This window comes from Homo sapiens, chromosome 6 (genome assembly GCF_000001405.40).
Source record: "Homo sapiens chromosome 6, GRCh38.p14 Primary Assembly".
In the NCBI taxonomy this organism is placed as follows: Eukaryota; Metazoa; Chordata; class Mammalia; order Primates; family Hominidae; genus Homo; species Homo sapiens.
In genome coordinates, this window is record NC_000006.12 from 56,244,371 (window position 1) to 56,265,540 (window position 21,170).

Consider the following 21,170-nt stretch of genomic DNA (forward strand, 5'->3'; position numbering starts at 1 on the left):
TTTGATTACTGAGAATCTGAACTTGCTCCTATATGTCTCCATTTTTCCCAACAACAGGTATGCCTCTGACCTTCTTTTTCATCCCCACAGCTACTCCTCCTCTTTCCACAGTGAGTCAAATAGAAAACCCTATTTATAATAAATTGGAATTACATTTAGTTTAATAACATTAAATTCTAATTCTAATCATTTTAATAACATTAAATTATAATTTTTAAAGTATCCTAATGAAGATCTGATTTCTTGAATGGAGGACTTACTAAAGTGCTTAGATGCCGGAACTTGCTTTATGTTTAGTCTTATAGAAGTCATATATGATTGGTAATTAGCAGGTTACAACCTCTTGCATTTAAAGATGCCAGATGAGTCATAAAAGGCATTCTCAGTAATACACTATTCAACTTATCGCTAAAATAAAAGAGAATGGAAATTAATTTCAAAGTACAGAATCATTTGGCATCTTTTTTGGCATTAATACCATAAATATTTTCACTAGATCTACTTGGTCCTAAGAGGATAATAGAGATCAGTTCCAATCAAATAATGTGAAAGGAATTGATTGTATGCATGTGTGTGTGACTTGAAGCATTTTGAAATTATTGCAGCTAAGGAAGAAAAGGACTCATTACCTCACCTACTCTTTTTGCCAGTTTAGGCTTGTCCTTGCTCTGTGTCCTCATTTTGCTTCCTCTTATATTTTCTTGAACAAATCATGATGTAACTGGATAGGGTTTCCTTTATTCACTCTGTTAAGAACCTAAGAAACACCAGATAGTACTTCTAAACTAGCTTTCCTGGAGACTACACCATCTCACTTTTAGATGCTCTCTCATTTGGATTTTCTTTTACAAAGAAAAGTATTCTGAAGAACCAGATTTTACGGCTATTTAAATATGAATGTTAATACATTATAAAGGCTACCAGAAGGTGAAATCCTTCACCACAGTGACTTAAAAAAACCTAGGCTATTGATTTGAAGCTAATCTAAAACTTTTTCCAGAAAGTTCCATATAAAGTATGTAATCAAATTATAAGGATAATTTGAGGATGTCCATATAGTCACCTTCTAAGAGTGCAGTTGGTATTTAAATAAAAATCTAATCATGTATCAACATAGATCTTCTTTTAAGGTGGTTGAGGATTATGTTGTTTGATGGTGTGTATACATGAGTTTGTATTTTGAGCTAACAAATATTTAACTTACTATGCTAGGCACTTTAGAAGCATTATTTAACTCTGACAACAATGTGAATTATGAGGTAAGTGTACTAGTACGCCCCACATTTCACAGATAAGGAAAATGAGGCTCGGAGAAGCTATGCAACTATCCAAGAGCACAGAGAAGCAGAAGAGCAGGTCTTGAACCCAGGTCTGCCTCAGACCAAAGTTCCTGTTCCTAACCACTATCTAAATTTCCCCCAGATTCTCTAAATACAAGCTTAGTACCTAACCCTTAACAAGTTTATATACCTCAGTCACAAATTGGCACAGAAAAAAAGCAGTTTGGAAAATAAATGTTCTCTGTACAGGAAGTCTTGGTACAGTTAGCCCTGTGTTCATTGCAGCACGCATGTGCTGGGATTGGAGTCATGCCTATTCTAGATTTTCTTATCCAGTGTCAGATTTCTAATCCATTTAAGCCCATTTGCAAAGTCATTCTATTTTTGAACTAATGGCTTAGAAACAGCTGGAACTATTTTAGCCAAAATTTTGAAATCTCAGATATCTATAAAAAGAAAAAAAAAATGGTCCACTTCAATAATCCAGAGGCCTGCAACACTGAATTCCCTTTCACTAAAGAGAATTGGCATGAATCCCTTAAACCCTCAACTACTTTAGGAAAAGACAAAATACGCATATGAATGCTGTAACCTGCACTGATGACAGTGATGATCCAGGAACATTTCATCAGGGGTCAAAGATTCCTGTTATTACAGCTGGAAGACTCATGTATATTTCTTCCTTGGCTTCATTTCAACTTTTAGAAAAGGAAAAATTCCTATTCTCTCCTAAAGCAAGTATACAAATTCTACTGCTTAAAAATTATTCGATGATGCTTAAGTCTCCCCTTTATAAGATCTTTCAAAGTCCCCAGTATGCTTTTTTTTTTTCAATATGGGCAAAACTCTACTAATAAATAACTAAGGTTCTTCTGAAAAGTGGTCTGTTGCCTCCTCCCTTGGTGAAGGGAAATTTGCAGGTGTCTTCTCTGATTAAGTAAGGTCCAACCCAACAGTTTTCAAACTTGAGCAAGCACTAGCATTACCTGGAGGGCTCATTAAAACACAGGTTTCTGGGCACCAGCCTCAGGGTTTTAGGTTCAGTGGGTCTAGGGCGGAGCTAGAGCCCTAGATTTTGTTTGTATTTCTCAAAGTTACCAGGTGCTTGCTGCTGCGGGCCAGATGCCACACAGCGAATCACTGCTGTAGTTCGCTGCTTTCTATATTCGACTGCACTTTGGAATCACCTGACAAAAGTTTTAAATATGTTAATGCTCAAAGTCCCACCCCCAGAGATTCTGAGTAATTGGTCTGGGGTGCTGCTCAAGCATCGATTTTTTTAAAGGTCCCGGAGTGAGTCCATAATGCAGCAGCCGTAAAGAACCTCTGGCCCACTCAACACAGCCCCAGACCCACAGCTCTGCGCGCTCAGCGCCACGTGTGGACGCTGGAGACCCTTCCAAGAAGCTAAAAGCTGAGGGTGGGGTTGAGCTCAGGGGAGTAAATCAACGCACGTTATCGTACTCAGAAGCCAAACACTCCAAGGCAGGAATCTGCACCCAGAGAACCTCCCAAGATTCATTAACATGAAGTAACTTTGCAAGACAAATCCTGACATCTCAGCCTCCAGCTGGGCGCGGAATTCACCGAACAGTTCACCAACTGCTTTGGCGCAGGGAGAAGACTGCACCCCCAGGAAACCCAAAATGCCAAATTGCAGCCCCTGGAGAGCCAGCCCTGAGGCCCCCCGAGATGTCATTCTGGCAGCGAGAGGGGAGTAGGAGGTGTCTCCTTACCTGGCGCAGTGTCCAGGCTCGGGGTTGCCGTCGCAGCCAGCTGAGTGTTGCGCCAGGGGGACAGGTATGTTCCAGGCAGTGGCAAGCCCAACCCGAGCAAGACCTGCGCTGAAACGGATTGGCTGCCCTCCGCCCGGAGTCCGTTCTCCCTGCAGCGGCCAGTGCAGAGCTCAGAGGCTCAGAAACTCGCTCTCAGCCCCCTGGAGGCGGAGCCCGGGAGATAAGGTTCGCGCTCCCCACCCGCCCCCTTTCCTTGGCCGAAGACCAGAGGGTGGATTTTGGATCTGGATCTTGAAGGGCGAACTGCTAGTGTCGCCCTGGTGGAAACACTCAGTTCAAATCCTGCTAGCATCAGAAAATGCACGATTGAGGATTGAAAACGAGGGTGAAGGAGGACCAGGGAAGCGCGAGGAGAGAGGCAAAATAAGGGACTGCCAGGAAAGCAGGAAAGGCAACTCAGTTGAAAGGGCAAGCACTAAAGGAGGCAAAGACTTGGGCAACACCAGAGCATCGCCTGCACTGATCGAAGGAGGCCTGCCTCCCTTGCCCAAGAAGAACCCCCCTCTGGGGCGCCAAGGTACGTTGCAGCGGACTGATGTTCCTTGCTTTCAACCAAAAGTAACAGCTGCTCCAAAACCTGAGGGAAGTTCACTTTCAAATAGTCAAGTAGGCAGTGACCTTTAAGGGTTTAGCAATTACAAAGGAAGCCTCGGAATAAGGTGACAGCCTTATGACAAGATAAAGATGCTGTCTGCTCTGCCCCTTTGAGTGCATTCTTCACAGAGCAGCCAGAAAGTTATTTAACATTCATATGCTTTCCCTATTATCTGCAACTCTTCTTTTCTCACCCGTGTGCACCCCTCCTACCCCAACACACACAAGACCTGTTTGCCCTTTCTTATACACACCAGTGTGTTCTCATCTCACTTGGCATTTCTTCTGCCTCCAAAACTCTGTCCCAGACCTTATCATAGTTGCTTGCTTCTGTTCATCAAATTATCCACTCTTTGTGACACTTTGAGACACTTTGAGAGTGAGTCCTTCCTGTACATCCCATCCAAATGGAATGCCCAACCCCACTTTGGTTTCAACAGATCACTTATTGCTATCTGAAGGTTTTCATATCTTCATTGCTTGTGTGTGTTTCCTATCCAACTCAAGGTATGCTCTATGAGGGCAGGAAATTGGTCTTGTTCCCAGCTGTGTCCCCTGAGCCTAGAACAATACCTGGAATATACAAGGTGCTCAATAAATATTGGCTAAATGAATGTGTGAATTAATTTCTCCCTGTGGGAACAGGTTCACAAAGAAATGCCTTCTTCAATAACTAAATCTCACTTAATTCAGGTGTGATACAAACATCTTCAAATGATCATTTCCTGAATTTCCTTATTCATTCATGTTAGATTCTACTGTTACAAAAATATGATAGGAGAACATTGCTTTGGATTTGGTAACATCTTCTTAGATATGACACCAAAAGCACAAGCAATTCAAGAAAAAATAAGTTAGACTCCATCAAAATTTAAAATGTTGTGCTTCAAATCACACTATCTAGAAAGTAAACAGCCCACATACTAAGAAAATATTTGCATACCATCTATACAATTAGATTCTTGTGTCCAGATATACAAAAATCTTACAACTCAAGAGTAAAAAGACAGTTTTAAAATGCACAAAGTATTTAGACGTTTCTCCAAAGAAGATCTACTAATGGCCAATGAGAACATGAATGAATGCTAAACATAATTAGCCATTGGGGAAATGAAAATTAAAACCACAAGCAGATACACTTTATACCACTAGGATGGCTAAAATAAGAAAAACAATAAGTGTTAGGGAGGATATGGAGAAATTGGAACACTCATATATTCCTAGTGGGCTTGTAAAAATGATTAAGCCACTTTGGAAAACAGTTTGCCATTCTCTAAAATGTTCAATGTAGAGTTAACTTATAACCTGACAAATTCATTCTTCAGTAGATAGCCAAGAAAATCAAAAACATATATCCACATCAACACTTCTATATGAATATTCATAGGAATGTTACTCATAAAGCCAAAGGCAGTAACAACCCAAATGTCTATCAGCGGATGAATGGATAAGAAAAGTGTTATATCGCTACAATGGAATATTATTCTGACATAAAAAGGAATGAAACACTACATGCTAAATCATGGTTGAACCTGAGCATGTTAGCTAAAAGAAGCCAGTCACACACACAAAAAAACACTTATTGTATGATTCTGTCAATATAAAATGTTCAGAATAAGCAAATCCATAACTACTTGAAGTACGTAGTAAATCCATACCTATAATACATGAAGTGCTGGTAGAAGGAAGAAATGGGAGTGAGTGTTAATGGGAATGGGGTTTGCTTTGGGGTGATAAAAATGCTCTGGAGTTCGTGCTGATAGTGACGATTTTGAATATACTAAAAACTACTGAATTGTTGACTTTAGAATGGTCAATTTTACAGTATGTGAATTATATATCAGTTTTAAAACACTGATTTGTACCCTTTTAGTGGGTAAATTTTATGATGCATGAATTGTAGGTCAATAAAGATGTTATTAAAAATAAGAAATAAAATGCACTGGTTTTAACTGAACTGTAAAATATTCCTCTAAATTTTGTCATGGCTCTCTAGAGAACTATTCTTGTCCTAAGTGAATTCACAATTTTTTAAAACATGTCTGCACAATCGTTGCTTGATTTCATCATCCCCATTTCCAAAATATGCCATGTGGCACATACATACTTAGGGAAATATTCATAGGGTTCCTTTAAGACAACTCCTTTAATTGAAAAGAAGGACAAGAAGAAAAAACTAACCTAAACTAGGAAACTGTTGTGATGGCATTTTGCAGATATAACCAAGGTTTTAAATGAATTAACATTAAGAGAGACTGTATGGATGGGTTTGATCTGATCACCTGAACCCTTTAAAGCAGAGAGGTTTCCTCACAGAAGAGGAAGTTAGAGAGGCATGCTTTGGCTGGCCTCGGGGAAAGCTATCATCCATGTAATGAACTGCCTGCGGAGGTCACATGGTAAGGAACAGTGAGCAGCCTCTAGGATCTGAGAACCATCCCAGGCTGACAGCTTGAGGAACAACAGAGACTTCAGTTGTACAACCACAAGGAAATGAATTTTGTCAACAACCAGTGAGCCTAGAAGATGACCCTGAGCCTAGATGAGAGCCTCAGCCCTAGCCAACACTTTGATTTCAGCCCACTGAGACTCTCAGCAGACAATCCAGCATCACCATACTCAGACTTCTAGCCCATAGAAACTGTGATATTAACTATTTGTGATGTTTTAAGCTGCTAAATTTGTGGTAATTTGTCATGCAACAACAGAAAACTAATGCAGTTACCATAAACCCATATATTCTAGCAAGGTCTAAATTTCTTGAGCTATTCATTTTAGTAAAGAGAGTATCTTTTTATATCTGATTAATATTATTTAATTACTAAATACTTGTATGGCTTTAAATGTTTAAATTTACAAACTAGGAAAAAGAATATACTTGCCAAGTTAAACTTCCCAATGTTTGTTTTAGAACATTATTGTGCCCAAATTTACAATATTGTTTCTTCCTCCTCAATAACAGATATTTAAGTCATAGACCCCCAAAATTAGAACACAAGGGATCAAAAAAGCCCTTCATTTCCCTTACAGTCCTCTGTCTCACCTCTGCCTCATCCAAATGCAGGCTATCAAGATAGAAGATGCTGTTACATAAAGATTGGCTGTAATTGATATATTGCTCTCTTAGAAATACCTCTATCCTGATTCTTCAGGGCTCCTCAATTCCCTGCTAAGGTAATAATTCTTCCTCTTCTTCAAAAGAATAAGCCTAAATGACTACTATATTATGGCATTTTAAGTCTCAAATTCTCAACTAAATTATATTTAATCAATCTACCACAGTGAACCTAAGTCACACAGCACCACTAAGAGCAGGTGTCATATCTACATTGTTTCTCATTATATTCCCATGGGAACAGTAAACAAATATTTATCGAATGAATACCTAATGTGACAAGTCCAAGGGAGAAAAACATCAATGTATATAATACTGAATAAATTGATGTTATTTATTCCAGGCACCAGGCTAGACTTTTGGGATGTAGCTATGAGCAAAAGCTCATTGTTCATAAAGCTCTTTGATTGGATGTGTGTGAGTGTGTATGTGAAAAAATGGGAAATATTTGAGAATATTAAAGTTATTTGGCATACTTTTTCTAAAACCTATAAACAGGACTAGCCCCTGTCCTCCCTCATGAAATGTCTAGTCTAGTGAATGAAATTTAACCCAGGACATAAATAGCTAACTCTAAAACAGTGGCCATTCACAAAGACAAGCAGTTCTCAAATGCTCTCTCTAGGTTTGCAGGAAGGGTTATCCCAAGAAAATATGACAATGTCCTCACTTTTTCCTCTAGCAGTCCTATGTAAATGCAAAACTTAAATCAAGGATATTTGTGAAGGGAGTGAGAAGTAACAGAGGACTCTGCCATCTTATTTCCTTCCGTAGTTTCCACTGTGCTACTTTTGATCACACTAACTTCCTCAGGAGACAGAGAATTTGGCTTTTCTAACTGTCCAAGACTCCATAGTATCAGGCTTTAAGCCATCTTGTTTTGCAGGTTGCAGAATATCTCTAGAAAGGCCTTCTTTCTTCTTTCTCTTCTTTCAGAATGAGCTTCAGCTTAAATGTATCAATTTCTCCTAGGATCCTACTGAAGATTACAAGATGTAGCCAAGAAACTTCAATACCTTCACATTTTCCTTTTGCATCTCTGAAAGATTCAAGTGGTCTGAGTTCCCAATTACTACAAGCTACAGCTTAACAAGCTTTTCCCTTATTGCATAACAATAATGGCCAACTTTCCAGGCCTGGATGGAGGAGTCTTTTCTGCCTTCTATCTTCCTTTGACTAGGTAATTTTGCATGTTAAGCTCCGTAACTTAACTTGCAGTACCCTGCTTCTAGCCCTAACTTCTACATCGGTTAGTGCCCTCTGGTTGCAAGCACAAAAGCTGTTTATGTGTAATTTATTTTTTAAAAAATGAATCCTTTGGAAATATATGAGTAGCTCCCAGAAGGGCTGGAAAATTAAGTTTTGAAAAAGAGGCATCAGACAAAGCTGCAGAGACCAGGTATCAGGAACTACTTAGCATCTTTAAAGGATACCAACAAAGGTATAAATATGCTACATTTTCCTTTTCATATATTAATCTACTAGATGTATAAAGACAGTGAGTTCCATTGGTTTAGCTTGGGTCACCTATTGACCCTTTAGATTAGGAGAGAGTAGGGCATGTAATTCTACTGCCCTACTAAAATTGCCCACAATGGGGAAGAAAATATCCTCAAAGAAAATCAGGATGCTGTTACCATAAAAAGGAAAAATGAATGCTGGGTGGACAAAATGAAACAAAACAGCCACTGCATGGAGAGAAAAGATATACCATTTCCCTGGGGCTTTTTAGAACGAATGACAGGGGCCACCTCTATCTCCTTTCAACAACAATATCCTTGGATTATAAACACCTCCAGTTTGATGGATAAATCGAAGAGCCTAATACACAATAGCTGTATTCTATCTAAGCAGATATGACCTATGTATTCTATCTAAGAAAATAGAACAATCCCAGTTTCCAGACTTCTCTTAAAAGTGATATGTTCATTACAACAATCATTCTCTTAGCAACCTCTGATATTTCTTTAAGTGCTGCACAGGTCATGAATTCATAGCCCTACCCTGAAAATAATTGGGAAATATTTCAGATGCTCACTGCTGAACTATAGACCTTGGGCTGCTGTTTCCAGAAACATCACAGCCCAGAGGCCTATGATTTTACAGGAGTGATTGTAGTAGTCCTTGATTTTGGTTCGTATGAAAACATCACTGGGACATTCAACCTGCCAGTGTCCACATGGGACTGGTTTACAAATGAACCTTTGACCCAAATGGGGCCAGTTAGAGGTCTCTCCAGGACTTTGGAAGAAAAGAGAGTTAGTTAGCTGTTTTCTTAGATTGTGAACTCCAAGTACCATGTAAGCCTAGATCTTCCTAGGAGAGACACTGACTGAGAATGAAGCCAACACAGAGAAAAGTAGAACTCCAGAAAGACAGAAAACAAGCTACTGACATCATTAGAGTAGCTACATCCAGCCATTACTGAAACTAGGCCTACTTCTGTATTTTTCCCTATGTGAGCATTTTTTGTTTAAGCTCATTTGAATTGAGTCTCTGTCGCTCTCAACCAGAAGAGCTCTAAATTGAACACGCAAAAGCAATTCAGATACTGAAAGACTCTTAAGAAAACAGAATGTCCATATAAAATCCTTTTGTATCTTAAATTCTGTTCAAATATTTTGCTTTAAATGCTAAATATAAATGCTTAAAAGAGCTTGGCAACAATAATAACTATTTTAATAAGTTCTCTTAAAAGTCCAAAACCTCAAGGAAATTTGACTGATTCTAATTTGGTTAAGTAACCTGCAAGTCTTACTTCGGAAAGCATGTTCTTAGATCCAGATGTAACACCCCAAATTGACAGGTAAAGATGAAAAAAATCACAAATATACACTGAAGTGTACTCAGAGACTACTTGGAGATAATTATTCTATTTTATCATCCTCAATTTCAGAGTCCCAAATTCTTCTGGCCAAGAGAACATTGAGTGAAATCATATTTCCTAGGGCTTAGCTCACATTTCTCATATTTTTATCTTAGGGCTGACAGTCCAATTCAACTTTCCTCACATTAAACCACATGTAAAAATAAGAAACTACCTTATTTCTAACTAGCTAAGAGATGATTTCCTATTAGGCTTCTTCTTACAGAAACTCTTCGAGAGATGCTTCTTTGTGGTAACCCAGTTAAGAGGGAGGACAAAGAGGTGGTTGGCCTCTGTGTTGAAATCGTTTATATACAGGCATCCTCAAAGCAGAGGGAAGATACATTATTTGTTAGTTAATTTATTTTGATTGAAATGTATCTAAAGTGAAAGCACATAGTAAGTACTGGTTTCCCCTTGAATTATGGTTAAAACTTGAAAATAGAGGTTTATCAACAAGGATTCTGTAAGTACTTGGATTCTTTACAGATGTGGTTAGTAACAGGCTGGGATCAATAACAGAATTAAATTTCTATTAATTTTGAAGTTAACTTATCAATACATAACAAAATAATTGTTTATAAAGCTCCCTTGGTTGGATGTGTATGAGCGTATGTGAAAAAATGGGAAATATTTGAGAATATTGAAGTTATTTGGTGTGTTTTTCTAAAAGCTATAAAAATCCCAGCTCCTTAACTTTTCTTAAAGGTCATATTTTTATTACTCCAGCTATTCTCTTAGCAGTCCTCGATTTCTTCAAGTGCTGCAAAGGTCTCTGGGTAATTTTTCATGAAGAAAATCAGTGAAGACTACTTGAAGAAGACATCCCACAGTATGCTGCTTGCTTTAAAAAAGAAAAAGAATCCTGTACTACTTAGTTTCACAAATTCTCATTAATTATCCCTAGATTTTTTTTTCTGTCATGATAAGCCATTTATGATCCAACTCACATTATTTTCCTCAGGTAAATGACTCAGCACTCATTCCCTTAAATTTCAATTCTGTTTAATTTCAAATACTCTACTATACAGGTCACTTCAATTAAATTTAAGAGATATTTCATTATATGTCATATGAAAAATTAGGATGATGGATGAAATGATGTCTATGGCTCTTTCCAGCTCTAATTGCTGTGGGGTCGGTCAAGTCATAATCATAATCATACATTACAACCTGCATTTTCTTATTTCTCGTGTTCTATAAACCATAGGTAATGGAATAAATGGTCTTCTAAATTCATAACTGTCTCTTTCAATTCTGGGTATAAAATCTTTTTTTCCTAACCTTCTAGAGTGATCACTGTTGTTAAGAGGGTGTGTGTGTGTGTGTGTGTGTGTGTGTGTGTGTGTGTGTTTAGTGTTTGTATGGATTTTGCCCCAGTCTAATTGCATAGAGCGCTGTGAAGGGAGTCTTTTCTTAATGATATGCATGCCTTTTTTATCAGATGCTATCTCTAGAACTTGTCTTCAGAAATTAGGCCAGCTGCCTGCATTACATACTGTTGTAAGGAACAGGGAGGGAAATAACTCCTTCCTGCTCTGCCAACATTTTTCTGTGGCTACAAGCATACTTAGGAAGCCTTATGTAGCAGCAATGGGTGGGCATGAATGCCTTGGCTCTCTGTGTGTCATACTTACAAGGATGCCAAGTTATTAAAACAGAGCAGTCCCTCTGCTGTGGCAGAGTCATCTTCTGGAACCTGTGTATCTGAAAGATGTGGCTTCACCCTCAATGCTTCTAAAAGCTCATGTCTGATAAGCCTTTGGGGGCTGAATTCAAGAAAGCCGCAATGTACCTGGTAAGGTCCAAAAGGGACCCAGCCCTGCTTCTCACCGCAGCCGCTGTCTGAGAGGAGGGGACGGCACAGGATGGGCTCCATAGGGTTCTTCTGAACCTGAACCACAACAATTCTAGGAGGTCTGCTTGGCTTAGCTGGAAGAAAGGCTCTCACCCAAGGTTCTCAGTGATTGCTGAAGTCTAAGGATATAAGAGGATGCTTCTAGAGTCTCCCTATGAATTATTCTGATGTTTTCCTAAAGAAAAGTTAAGAAGATTTTGAATACTTTTAGTTGAGACGTTAGCCCATTAAATAGTTGCTGAACAAAGAAATAAGGTTCTCTAGATGACACCGAGGTTAAAGACCAGGCTAAAATTACTAATTACTAAATTCAATGGTCTCATAACACTTCTCAGCTCCAGCTAGTCTCACTGTGTTCTTTACAAATCTGGAAAACTTAATCTGAAGATGATCTTATAGGGCTTCTGATGCAACACCTTTATTTCTGGTGGATACAGGTTGTGAACAGAGATGAAAAATACTCATCTCATAAACAACAATATATTTTCCTTTCAAATCCTAACAGAATGTATCTTAATTCCAGCATTTTCATTCTAAGTGAAAATTTGTTTTGTGACAGTTTCTTAATTTTTAAAAAAGTTCCCCATGGACAGAAAAAAAAATTAATTCGCATCAAATTAGATCGTTGAAAACTTGATAAGCAAATACTCAAAATCAGCATAACTTATGTGCAGTATCGAAAGTAAAGCTTCCAATAAGAAGAGATTCAAAGCTGTACTCTATACAATATAGTTCACATTAAAGAGGGTAAAATATAGACTTAAGATTTTCAAGCCTAATTATCTGTTCTCTCCCTTCTCTGGCCAAATAATATTTTTTAAAAATTTTAAAAACCCCTTTTTTAAAAAGGGGTTATGAGGCCCCTTTCATGGTCACTGCTATACTCTTCGCAGTCCCACATGTGAGTGAAACTAACATGTTCAATGTTAGTTGAACAATGCTTCATTGTTCAAGAGGCCAATAAATTTATCAGTTAAAGGAGAAATGAGCATGGGCAGGTTCAGTTAGAATTTATCCATAATCAATCATACAAAATACAAGTAAATTCATGTCATTGCACAGAGGAGCTCTAAATTTAAATTTATACAAAATCAGATACAGACTCTGATGAATCTTATATTTCCCATAATATAAAGAAAGATTTCTCCATTAAACACTGATTTACAATGTCTGGGGAGTAAGCAAGTTCTGTGAGGTCTCACAACAGGATGTGTCAAAAGCAGAAGCTGAATAAATGTAGTGCTGTGTTGAAAAAAGAGATAAAAATCAAAAAGCATGTGAATCTTATTCCCCCAGAAAATTCCCATTACTAGCAAGTTTGGACATGATTAACACTTTGTTTTATTATTGAACTTAAAATAGTTTAAGGCAGGGTACTATGGAGCTTATTTTGCCAAAGGAAAATATTTGTAGCTCTCATATGGTTCTGGTGAGAGTATAACTTAGTTTGAGCTTTTTGGAAAAAATTTGGCATTATGCAGCAGAAGCCTTAAAATATTCATACCCTTTAACAAAATAATTCTGTTTTTAGGAAAATACCCAATAGAATAATCACAAAAGTAGGCAAATATTTATATGCAAGATATAAATATATGAACACATAAATATAATAGTAACACATTCTTTATAATGGGCAAGAAAAAATGAAGAAAAAACCCCCAAAGCCCCCAAATTGTGGATTGGTTAAATCAGGGGTTAGCAAACATTTTCTGTAAAGACCCAAATAGCAAATATTGTAGGCTATGCTGTCAATTTTACAACTACTATTCTGTCATTGTCCTGTGAAAGCAGCCACAGAAAATTGTAAATAAGTGGATATCACCATATTCCAATAAAACTTTATTAATGAACAGTGAAATTTAAATTCATGTAATTTTCAAATATCATAAAATATTCTTTTAATTTTTTTCAACAATTTAAAAATGTAAAAACCATTTTTAGCTTATGGGCTTTACAAAAACAGGTGGCCGGTCAGATTTGTCAACCCTTGCATTAAATTATAGTATTATAATTAAAATTTATGTTCATTATTTAATCAGTCAGAAATTATACAGTGAGACAAAGGGAAAGTAGAAGATAATATACAGGTATTTCTGGATTGAGATTATGGATAATATGGGTAATTTTTCTTTTATTCTTAATGTTTTATATTCTTGAAGTTTTTTACAATAAGTACATCTTATTTTATGATAAAAATGATATTCTTAAGGGGTGTCTTTTTGACTAAAAATATTCATTTCTTTCTCATTCTTTAAACATTACTCAGAAACTTTGGAGTTTCTGAAATTCTTGACAACATTCACATGTATTTTTAGCAATAACTTTTAAACAACACCATTTTTTTAAGCAGGAGCTAATAATTTATTTATTTTCAGGAGTACATACTTCTTAAAATTAAATACTTAGACTTTAGCCCCAAAGTCAGAGTCTGCCCTGTGCTCTTTTTTTAGGTACCCTTCAGCCTCTGCCCAGCTACTTAGCAAATGCATGCTGCCAAGTTCCCCTGAACTTGCACTATAACACCTCCAACTACTCCACTCTACCTGCATCCAACGGAGGACCTCAAATGCATCCTTCTAACCTTAGGTGCTCACCAGACAAAACCCACACACATGCACTCTATTACAAGGGAAGCCTCGGAGTAAGGTCACAGCCTTATGACAAGATAAAGATGCTGTCTGCTCTGCCCCTCTAACTTTAAGTGCTCACCAGTCAAAGCCCACACACATGCACTCTATTTGCACATCTCTAGACCTGTTTTGGCTCACAGGTAACAAGCTACCTGTCACTTGTTGAGTCAGTGCTGGCAAGTTTTTAACTGATAATGGCTCACATTGTAGGACCTCCAGAAATATTTTTATATTTATTTTAAAGAAGCTTTGGAATCTTCATATCTTAACTCAGTTGAATAATTAGCTGATAGGCAATTTTCAGGCATCCAAGCCAGCGTTTCTCAAATGTGTTTCACAAACACATGTCCTATGAGATATTTCAAGAAAAAGAAAAACCAGATCTGTATTTGGAATATTTTGAGAGCTGCTGCATACAATATCCCATCTCCTAAGGTTCACAATTCATTATTAACATATTAAGGGCTCTGCAAAATCCAAAACTAAAAATACCCATTTAACTTTTATTCCTTGTATCCCAAACTTATTTGCACTCCCCCTTTATTTTAATAGGAACACATAGACATTCAGCAGAAGCAGTGTTCTCAAGGAACACTCTTGGACATACCCTGACTTGGCCAGTAGAAGAGCTGATTTGGGAAGGGGAGAATAGAATAATGAGTTCTAGCATCCCTCAAAGCATTCTGCATTGGATTGTGATGGTCTCAGACACTGAGACAGAACCATCCTGGCCTGGAGTTTACTGCATTCCCCCACTGCTTCTTCAATGCTTCCATTTGCATTTCTACTTAGACTACTGAGTGCCTTCCACTCCCTCCATCTCCATTTGTTGCTTTTCCTTCCATCCATCTCTCTGACTCCGCACCACTGGTGCTATCATTCTAGTACATTCCCATCATTGCTGAGCGCTCACTCACTAATTATGTATTTAAATTTGAATTAAAATCACCATAGCTTCCCTTGGCTGCTTCCAAATGTTAGGATATGTTTTCAGTATTTATGAGACATACACAGCTGACATTTTTAGAAAATTACATTCTGTCTGCAAAAACATATGTATCCAACTGTGATGAGATTAGATGTTCTTGCATTTATTTTTCTAAGAATTGGGCACATCCAATATAGTCTTCTCTGAATGCATCTCATTGTTTCTCTTTTGGCAGTATCTTTCAAATGTCCTATCACTTGGGAGAGTTATGCATTATACTTTAATTGAAGTAATAGCTTCTTAGAAAAACATGCACTTTTCCCAAAAGCAATATGCTACAGTCAGTCTGCAAAGGACATACAATATTGCTGCTACTTAGGATAATTTTTATAAAACCAATTATTTCAGACTCAAATATGTGCTCTTTATAACTAGAGCTTAAAGAAACACATGGCACACAGCCAGTTCAGCCTTTGCTTTCTATGCTGTAATATGATATCCCGGAGTCATTCTGGGCATTTTCAGATGTCTCATTATTGAGGAAAGAAAGCATGGCATACTTTCTCACATTAACCTTTAGATTCTAACCCAGAGGGTAGGTGTGACCCACTACCTCCCCACCACACACATAGCATGTTTTAAACTCAACAAAAGTAAGAGAGAGTTGTAACCAATGAGTCCAATTTAACAGGAGAATATTACTTGAGATTGTAAATTTAAGCTATATTATGTTTTATCCTCCCTCAAGACACAACTCTAAATGACTCTGTAACCATGGACTTAACTCACAAGAAAGGCTTGGATAAAAATAATTAAACAAAAGATGTGAGGTACTATTATATTATTACAGAAAACATGGAATCTGGCCAGGTGCAATGGTTCACGCCTGTAATCCCAGCACTTTGGGAGCAGAGGCAGGTAGATCACCTGAGGTCAGGAGTTTGGGACCAGCCTGGCGAAACCCTGCCTCTATAAAAAATACAAAAATTAGCCAGGCGTGGTGGCATGTACCTGTAATCCCAGCTATTTGGGAGGCTGAGGCAGGAGAATCACTTGAACCCAGGAGGTGGAGGTTGCAGTGAACCAAGACTGAGCATCTGCACTTCAGCCTGGGTGACAGAACAAGACTCTATCAAAAAAAAAAAAGAAAGAAGAAGAAGAAGAAGAAGAAGAAAGAAAGAGAGAGAGAGGAAGGAAGGAAGGAAGGAAGGAAGGAAGGAATGAAGGAAGGAAGGAAGGAAGGAAGGAAGGAAGGCAGGCAGGCAGGCAGGCAGGCAGGAAGGGAGGCAGGCAGGAAGGAAGGAAGGAAGGAAGGAATCAATCTTGGGGGAAGATTTTTTAGAAAGTAAAGTGGAAGACAATTTTGTATTCAAAGAAGCCACATTTTGGAGCACAATTTACTTTAATTCACTGTGTGTGTGTGTGTGTGTGTGTGTGTGTATGTGTGTGTGTGTGTACCTTTTATAGCTATACCTATACATTTAAAAAACCCTTAGAAGTAAATCACAAACTTCTTGATTCTTTTCTTACATATTCAAGTCTAATAAATATATTTATTTGAAAGACAAGTTTCAATGTCTTAATGAATTCTTCTGGTTCTTGGTTTTCTTGACACTTCACTTTTTATAGAAAATAAGGAGCTGACTATAATTCTACTACAAATCCAAAGATCTTTCAATGGTCTGTGAAGCCGTGACCTCTCAGTTCTCATGCCCCACCCTCTCCCTCTCCCTCACTCTGCTTTGGTCATCCTGGCACTCACTAGCACAGCCCTGAGAAGGAGCGCCTCCCTCAGTTTTGCACCCTAGGCACCTCTCTTGCCTGCCTCACCCGAATCATGCTCCTGGTCCAGAAGCTAACATTATAGTCAGATTACAAGATTAATCATTGTATTAGTTAGGATAAGTCAGTGCTGAATGTTTGTATCCCTCCCAAATTCACATGTTGAAATCTTAACCTCTATGGTTATGGTATTAGGAGGTAGGGTCTTTGGGGGGATATTAGGTCGTAAGGGCAGAGCCCTCATGAATGGGATTAGTGCCCACCTAAAAGAGACCCAAGAGACCTGTTCTTCCTTGTGAGGATACAGCAAGAAGGCATCATCTGTGGACCGGAGAGCAAGCCCTCACCAGACACTGCATCTACAGGCACCTTGGTCATTGATTTCCCAGCCTCTGGAACTGTAAAAAGATAATGTTTATTGTATTTAAGGTGCCCAGTCTAAGGGGTTTTTTCTTGTGATAGTATTCTGAATGGACAAATACAGTCAGGTAATACTGCAATAACAAATCAGTCCCAAAATTATGGTGGGCTTAAATCAACAAGGGATTATTTCTTGTTCTCACTACACATAGTTCAGTGGGAACCTCTGCTCTACCTGGGGAATTGGGTGGTGGGAGCTTTACCATGTTGTCTGCCATTCATGTGGAAGATGTGGTCTCTGATCACTGCATCAGTGGAAGAATATGGACCTTACCTGCCTCAGCTCTGAAGTGACACATGTCACTTTCTCCACATTTTATTATCCAAAACTGCAAGAGGATTAGGAAATATGGAAAAGAAAATGGAATCTTGATAAGCTTACTGTCTCTGCAAAACTCATATATAAATAACAACTGAATAGAACAGATAGAAATTTTACTTATTAATGCATTCGATTTCTCAAACCTGGTGTCTTTCTTATCCCTAGGCTTTCAAATATGTTTCCTTTGCCTGACATAGTCACCATAAATGTGTCCCACCCTAAATCCCACATCTGCAAAATCCTACCCAACCTTAAGGTTTTTGGCTTAAATAGCATTTCTTTGAAATTCTTAAATAATCCTTCTTCTCTCAACTTAGACCATCCTCTGTACTTTCATTTACTATTCCCACAATAACAGTAGCTAGCTAGTAAATACTGTAAGTATCTACTCCATGGCAGGCACTGTTCTGAGCACTTTATATTTATATTTAACCCTCACAATAAGCCAATGACATGGTATCTTAGTATGAGCTCCCTAGAAAACAGAGCCTAAGCCAAAAGCATAATACTAGCCCTGTAGAAAGTGGACAATCCCCAGGAATCAGGAGGGCAAGAAGACAGCAATGTGTCAGGAAAGAAGGAGAATGTATTTTAATTAGATTTGGGTCTGTTTTTCCTCTGTAGATCTAAAATTGTATTTTATTCATCAAAGTTATACTAGAATATAAAATATACTAGTATATTTTATACTAGAATAGGGACTGGGATACAGAGCTGGCTGCAGCTTTGTGACAAGCTACAAACTTACAGGAAATCAAGAGATTCAGGGAGGTCAAAAAGCACTACTATTAGTCTAAAAATCCAACCTCCCTCTAACTATACCAGAAGCAGCCACTATGCAGCTCCCAGGTCTGTAGCAGCATCAGCAGCCTGGTTCTATTCCCAAGGGAAGATGTTATAAGGACTACTCCAGCTAGAAAGCAAGGTGAGGACACAGACCTGGTGTGCTACAGCAACCAAATTCAGAATAATTTGGTTCAGGTTCTTGTAATTTATTTCCCGTTTTCAGATGAAGAAACTAATGCATTAAAATATATAATCTTGAACAAAGTTACACAGCTAGAAGGTGACATGGGATGCAAACCCAAAAATACTAGCCCTAAACCATACAATCCCAACCACTCCGCTCCTGCAAGAATGCAGACTCCACAAAAGCAATAACTGCTTTATTCCTAGCACCTATCACAAATACAGAGTCTAACGCATAGTATGCTTAATAGATACTTGTTGAATGAATGAATTAATAAGTGCATCAATGAATAAGTTTTAAATCAGTGGTATTTCATAAAGGGCCAAAGAAATTAATATGAAGGAGAGGTTCCATTTTATTAGGATACTCTGGAATGGTCTACATCAGAAGTAACATATAAGCTAGATCTTCCAAAGACTTAGAGAAAGGTCTGACCCAATGACACAAAGGCCATATTTGGAGACTGTGGTTTTACTATGGGGAGTATTGAAATACTCTATGGAGTAGTGAATGGAGAATGGAAATAAGGGTGTGGTGGGAAATAAGACTTAAAACACACACTTGGTATCAAGCGTTGGAAGCTTGCCATCTTCAAGGTGAAAAAGATGCCTAAGCTGAAGAGAACTCAAAAACTGTTCATTACAAAAGAAAGTCCCACTCAAAACAATGCCCACAGTCAGGGAAGCTAAGCGCATGTCCCCAGAATATTCCCAAATCATAGCTCACTTAAGCTGTGTTTTATTCTGTATTCTAGGAACCCACAATTCTGTTTTAGGCAAAAGTTCTATTTTGTTGTTACCCAAGACTCTATGGCTTAATGTGAAGCTGTGTTCTTGTTTTCTATCAAGAGAAATGGAAAACCGCTGTTTAACATTCTTGCTATAATAAGCTTCATACAATTCATGCGGTTATTTAAACATTTTCCTGATATTTGATCCTTAATCCTGCACACAACATAAAAAGACACCACAAGAAAATCATAGAAGAAAGAACAAATGATAGTATTAGCTTCATAAAGAGAACCACTCTCATACACAAACACACACACACACACACAAACACACAAAGATGAAAATATCTATAAACAATGAAATTATGTTCCTTTATAGGACAATTCCTCTGTTTATAATGTTTTCCTTATGATACATAGCACATAAGACATATTTATCGTATGTCTTTATGATGAATGAAGTCTCCTTGGAACTATTTATATCACACATGGAAAGCAAATTGCTGGAATAAATGTTTATTTAGCAACATAAACATTTCAAATAAATCCACAAGAAAAGGGTTTCATAACACGTCCATTCCCATTTGCATTTTGATTTGGTTACTGTCTTCATACATCAGTAGGAGCAACATAAATAGAATAACCACAGATCATCCTCCAGAAACCCACTCTCATCCCACCACTTCTCTCAGACTTAAGCATCTTGTCCACCTTGGATACTATCCCCTGGCTTTCCTTCTACTTCTATGGTGGCTCCTTCTCATTCCCTTTGGGATGTTTATTCCTATCTACCCAACAATTAAATGTCAGAATCCTGGACACTCAAAAATCAATCCTAAACAATCTCCTCCTTTCATCCTATACTGTCTCACTAGAAGATTTTATTTACATGACTCACAAATTTATGTCTACTTGAGGACCTGGCCTCTAAAGTTGGGACCCATTTAACTAATTGCCGTGTGAGATTTCCAATAAAATGCCTACAAGCCACCTATAATTCAACATATCAAAAACTGAATTTATTATGCATATACCTCAATCCGATACTAGTCTGATGTTCTTCTGTTTCATACCATTCTCCTGTACACCCTAAATTTAATCCATATCATCTAAACTCCAAGTTCTATAAATGTTATCTTCTAAATATTTCTAATCTATCCACTTCTATCCTTCACCATCACCATCAACTAAGTCCAACGTACTGAAGTGGTGTGTTGAGTGAGACTTTCCTGTTGCTCAGGAGTCTTCATAGTTCTTGATGAAGGGCATTTTCTTTCTTCTACCAATAGCAAAAAGAAGGTGCCTCTCCCAAACAATTGTGAAAAAGACTATAAGAAAGTAGAGGTTCCTACAAGGAGATACCAAGATCTCATTTCACAGTAGATGCCTGCTTACATGGAGATCTTTTGGATTTTCTCACTGTGCTTATTTGAGCAGGAGGAGAGGACAGTTGAAAGGAGATGGCAAGGCTAAGACAGGGGCTGGAAGCGGAAGTCTTCAAGCTACTTGGAAAATTAAGACTGTGTGAGTTTGCCATGGGTCAAGTGGCTGTCCCAGAAATCTTGATGAGGATCCTAGGCACAAGAAGCTCTGGGGTGGATTGTCCAGAACAGATGCCAAGTGGGGAGTGGAACAGGCAATGGAATACATACATGTTTATCATGAGGAGCCAGAATTTGCATGCCTTTTACACTTGAATCACTAGGGTCTGGTCAGTGTTAGTCCAAAAACCATGGGAAACAATAGCCCAGGGGCTACAACAGAGCCAACTAAGGAGACAACTGTCCCTTTCCCGTCCTTCCTCCTATTCCACTTACCAGAAGGGCCTGATTCAAGGGCAGACAATGATACTCCCCATCCCCACTGCAAAGTGAGTCTA

General features: G+C 38.1%; 1 protein-coding gene across 10 annotated transcripts in view, besides 2 other annotated features; it reads right to left on the bottom strand.

Annotated features, from left to right (window-relative positions):
• Positions 1–21,170, bottom strand: part of COL21A1 (collagen type XXI alpha 1 chain) — a 337,539-nt gene that overhangs the window by 187,781 nt on the left and 128,588 nt on the right. For 8 of the 10 annotated variants that reach the window (NR_134849.2, NR_134850.2, NR_134851.2 and 5 more), the window contains exon 1: positions 3,017–3,210. The exons of the other annotated variants lie outside the window; for them this stretch is intronic. The gene's annotated coding sequence lies outside the window, so the exon portion shown is untranslated. Of the gene's footprint in view, positions 1–3,016; positions 3,211–21,170 lie in introns of those variants that run through there. 10 annotated transcript variants of the gene reach the window in all.
• Positions 2,109–2,610: an enhancer, noted in NCBI's record as "OCT4-NANOG-H3K27ac hESC enhancer chr6:56111277-56111778 (GRCh37/hg19 assembly coordinates)". NCBI's record gives its function as "activates a minimal SCP1, AML or CMV promoter by ChIP-STARR-seq in primed H9 embryonic stem cells {active_cell/tissue: H9 hESC(primed)}" and the evidence as "EXISTENCE:reporter gene assay evidence [ECO:0000049][PMID:30033119]".
• Positions 2,611–3,110: an enhancer, noted in NCBI's record as "OCT4-NANOG-H3K27ac hESC enhancer chr6:56111779-56112278 (GRCh37/hg19 assembly coordinates)". NCBI's record gives its function as "activates a minimal SCP1, AML or CMV promoter by ChIP-STARR-seq in primed H9 embryonic stem cells {active_cell/tissue: H9 hESC(primed)}" and the evidence as "EXISTENCE:reporter gene assay evidence [ECO:0000049][PMID:30033119]".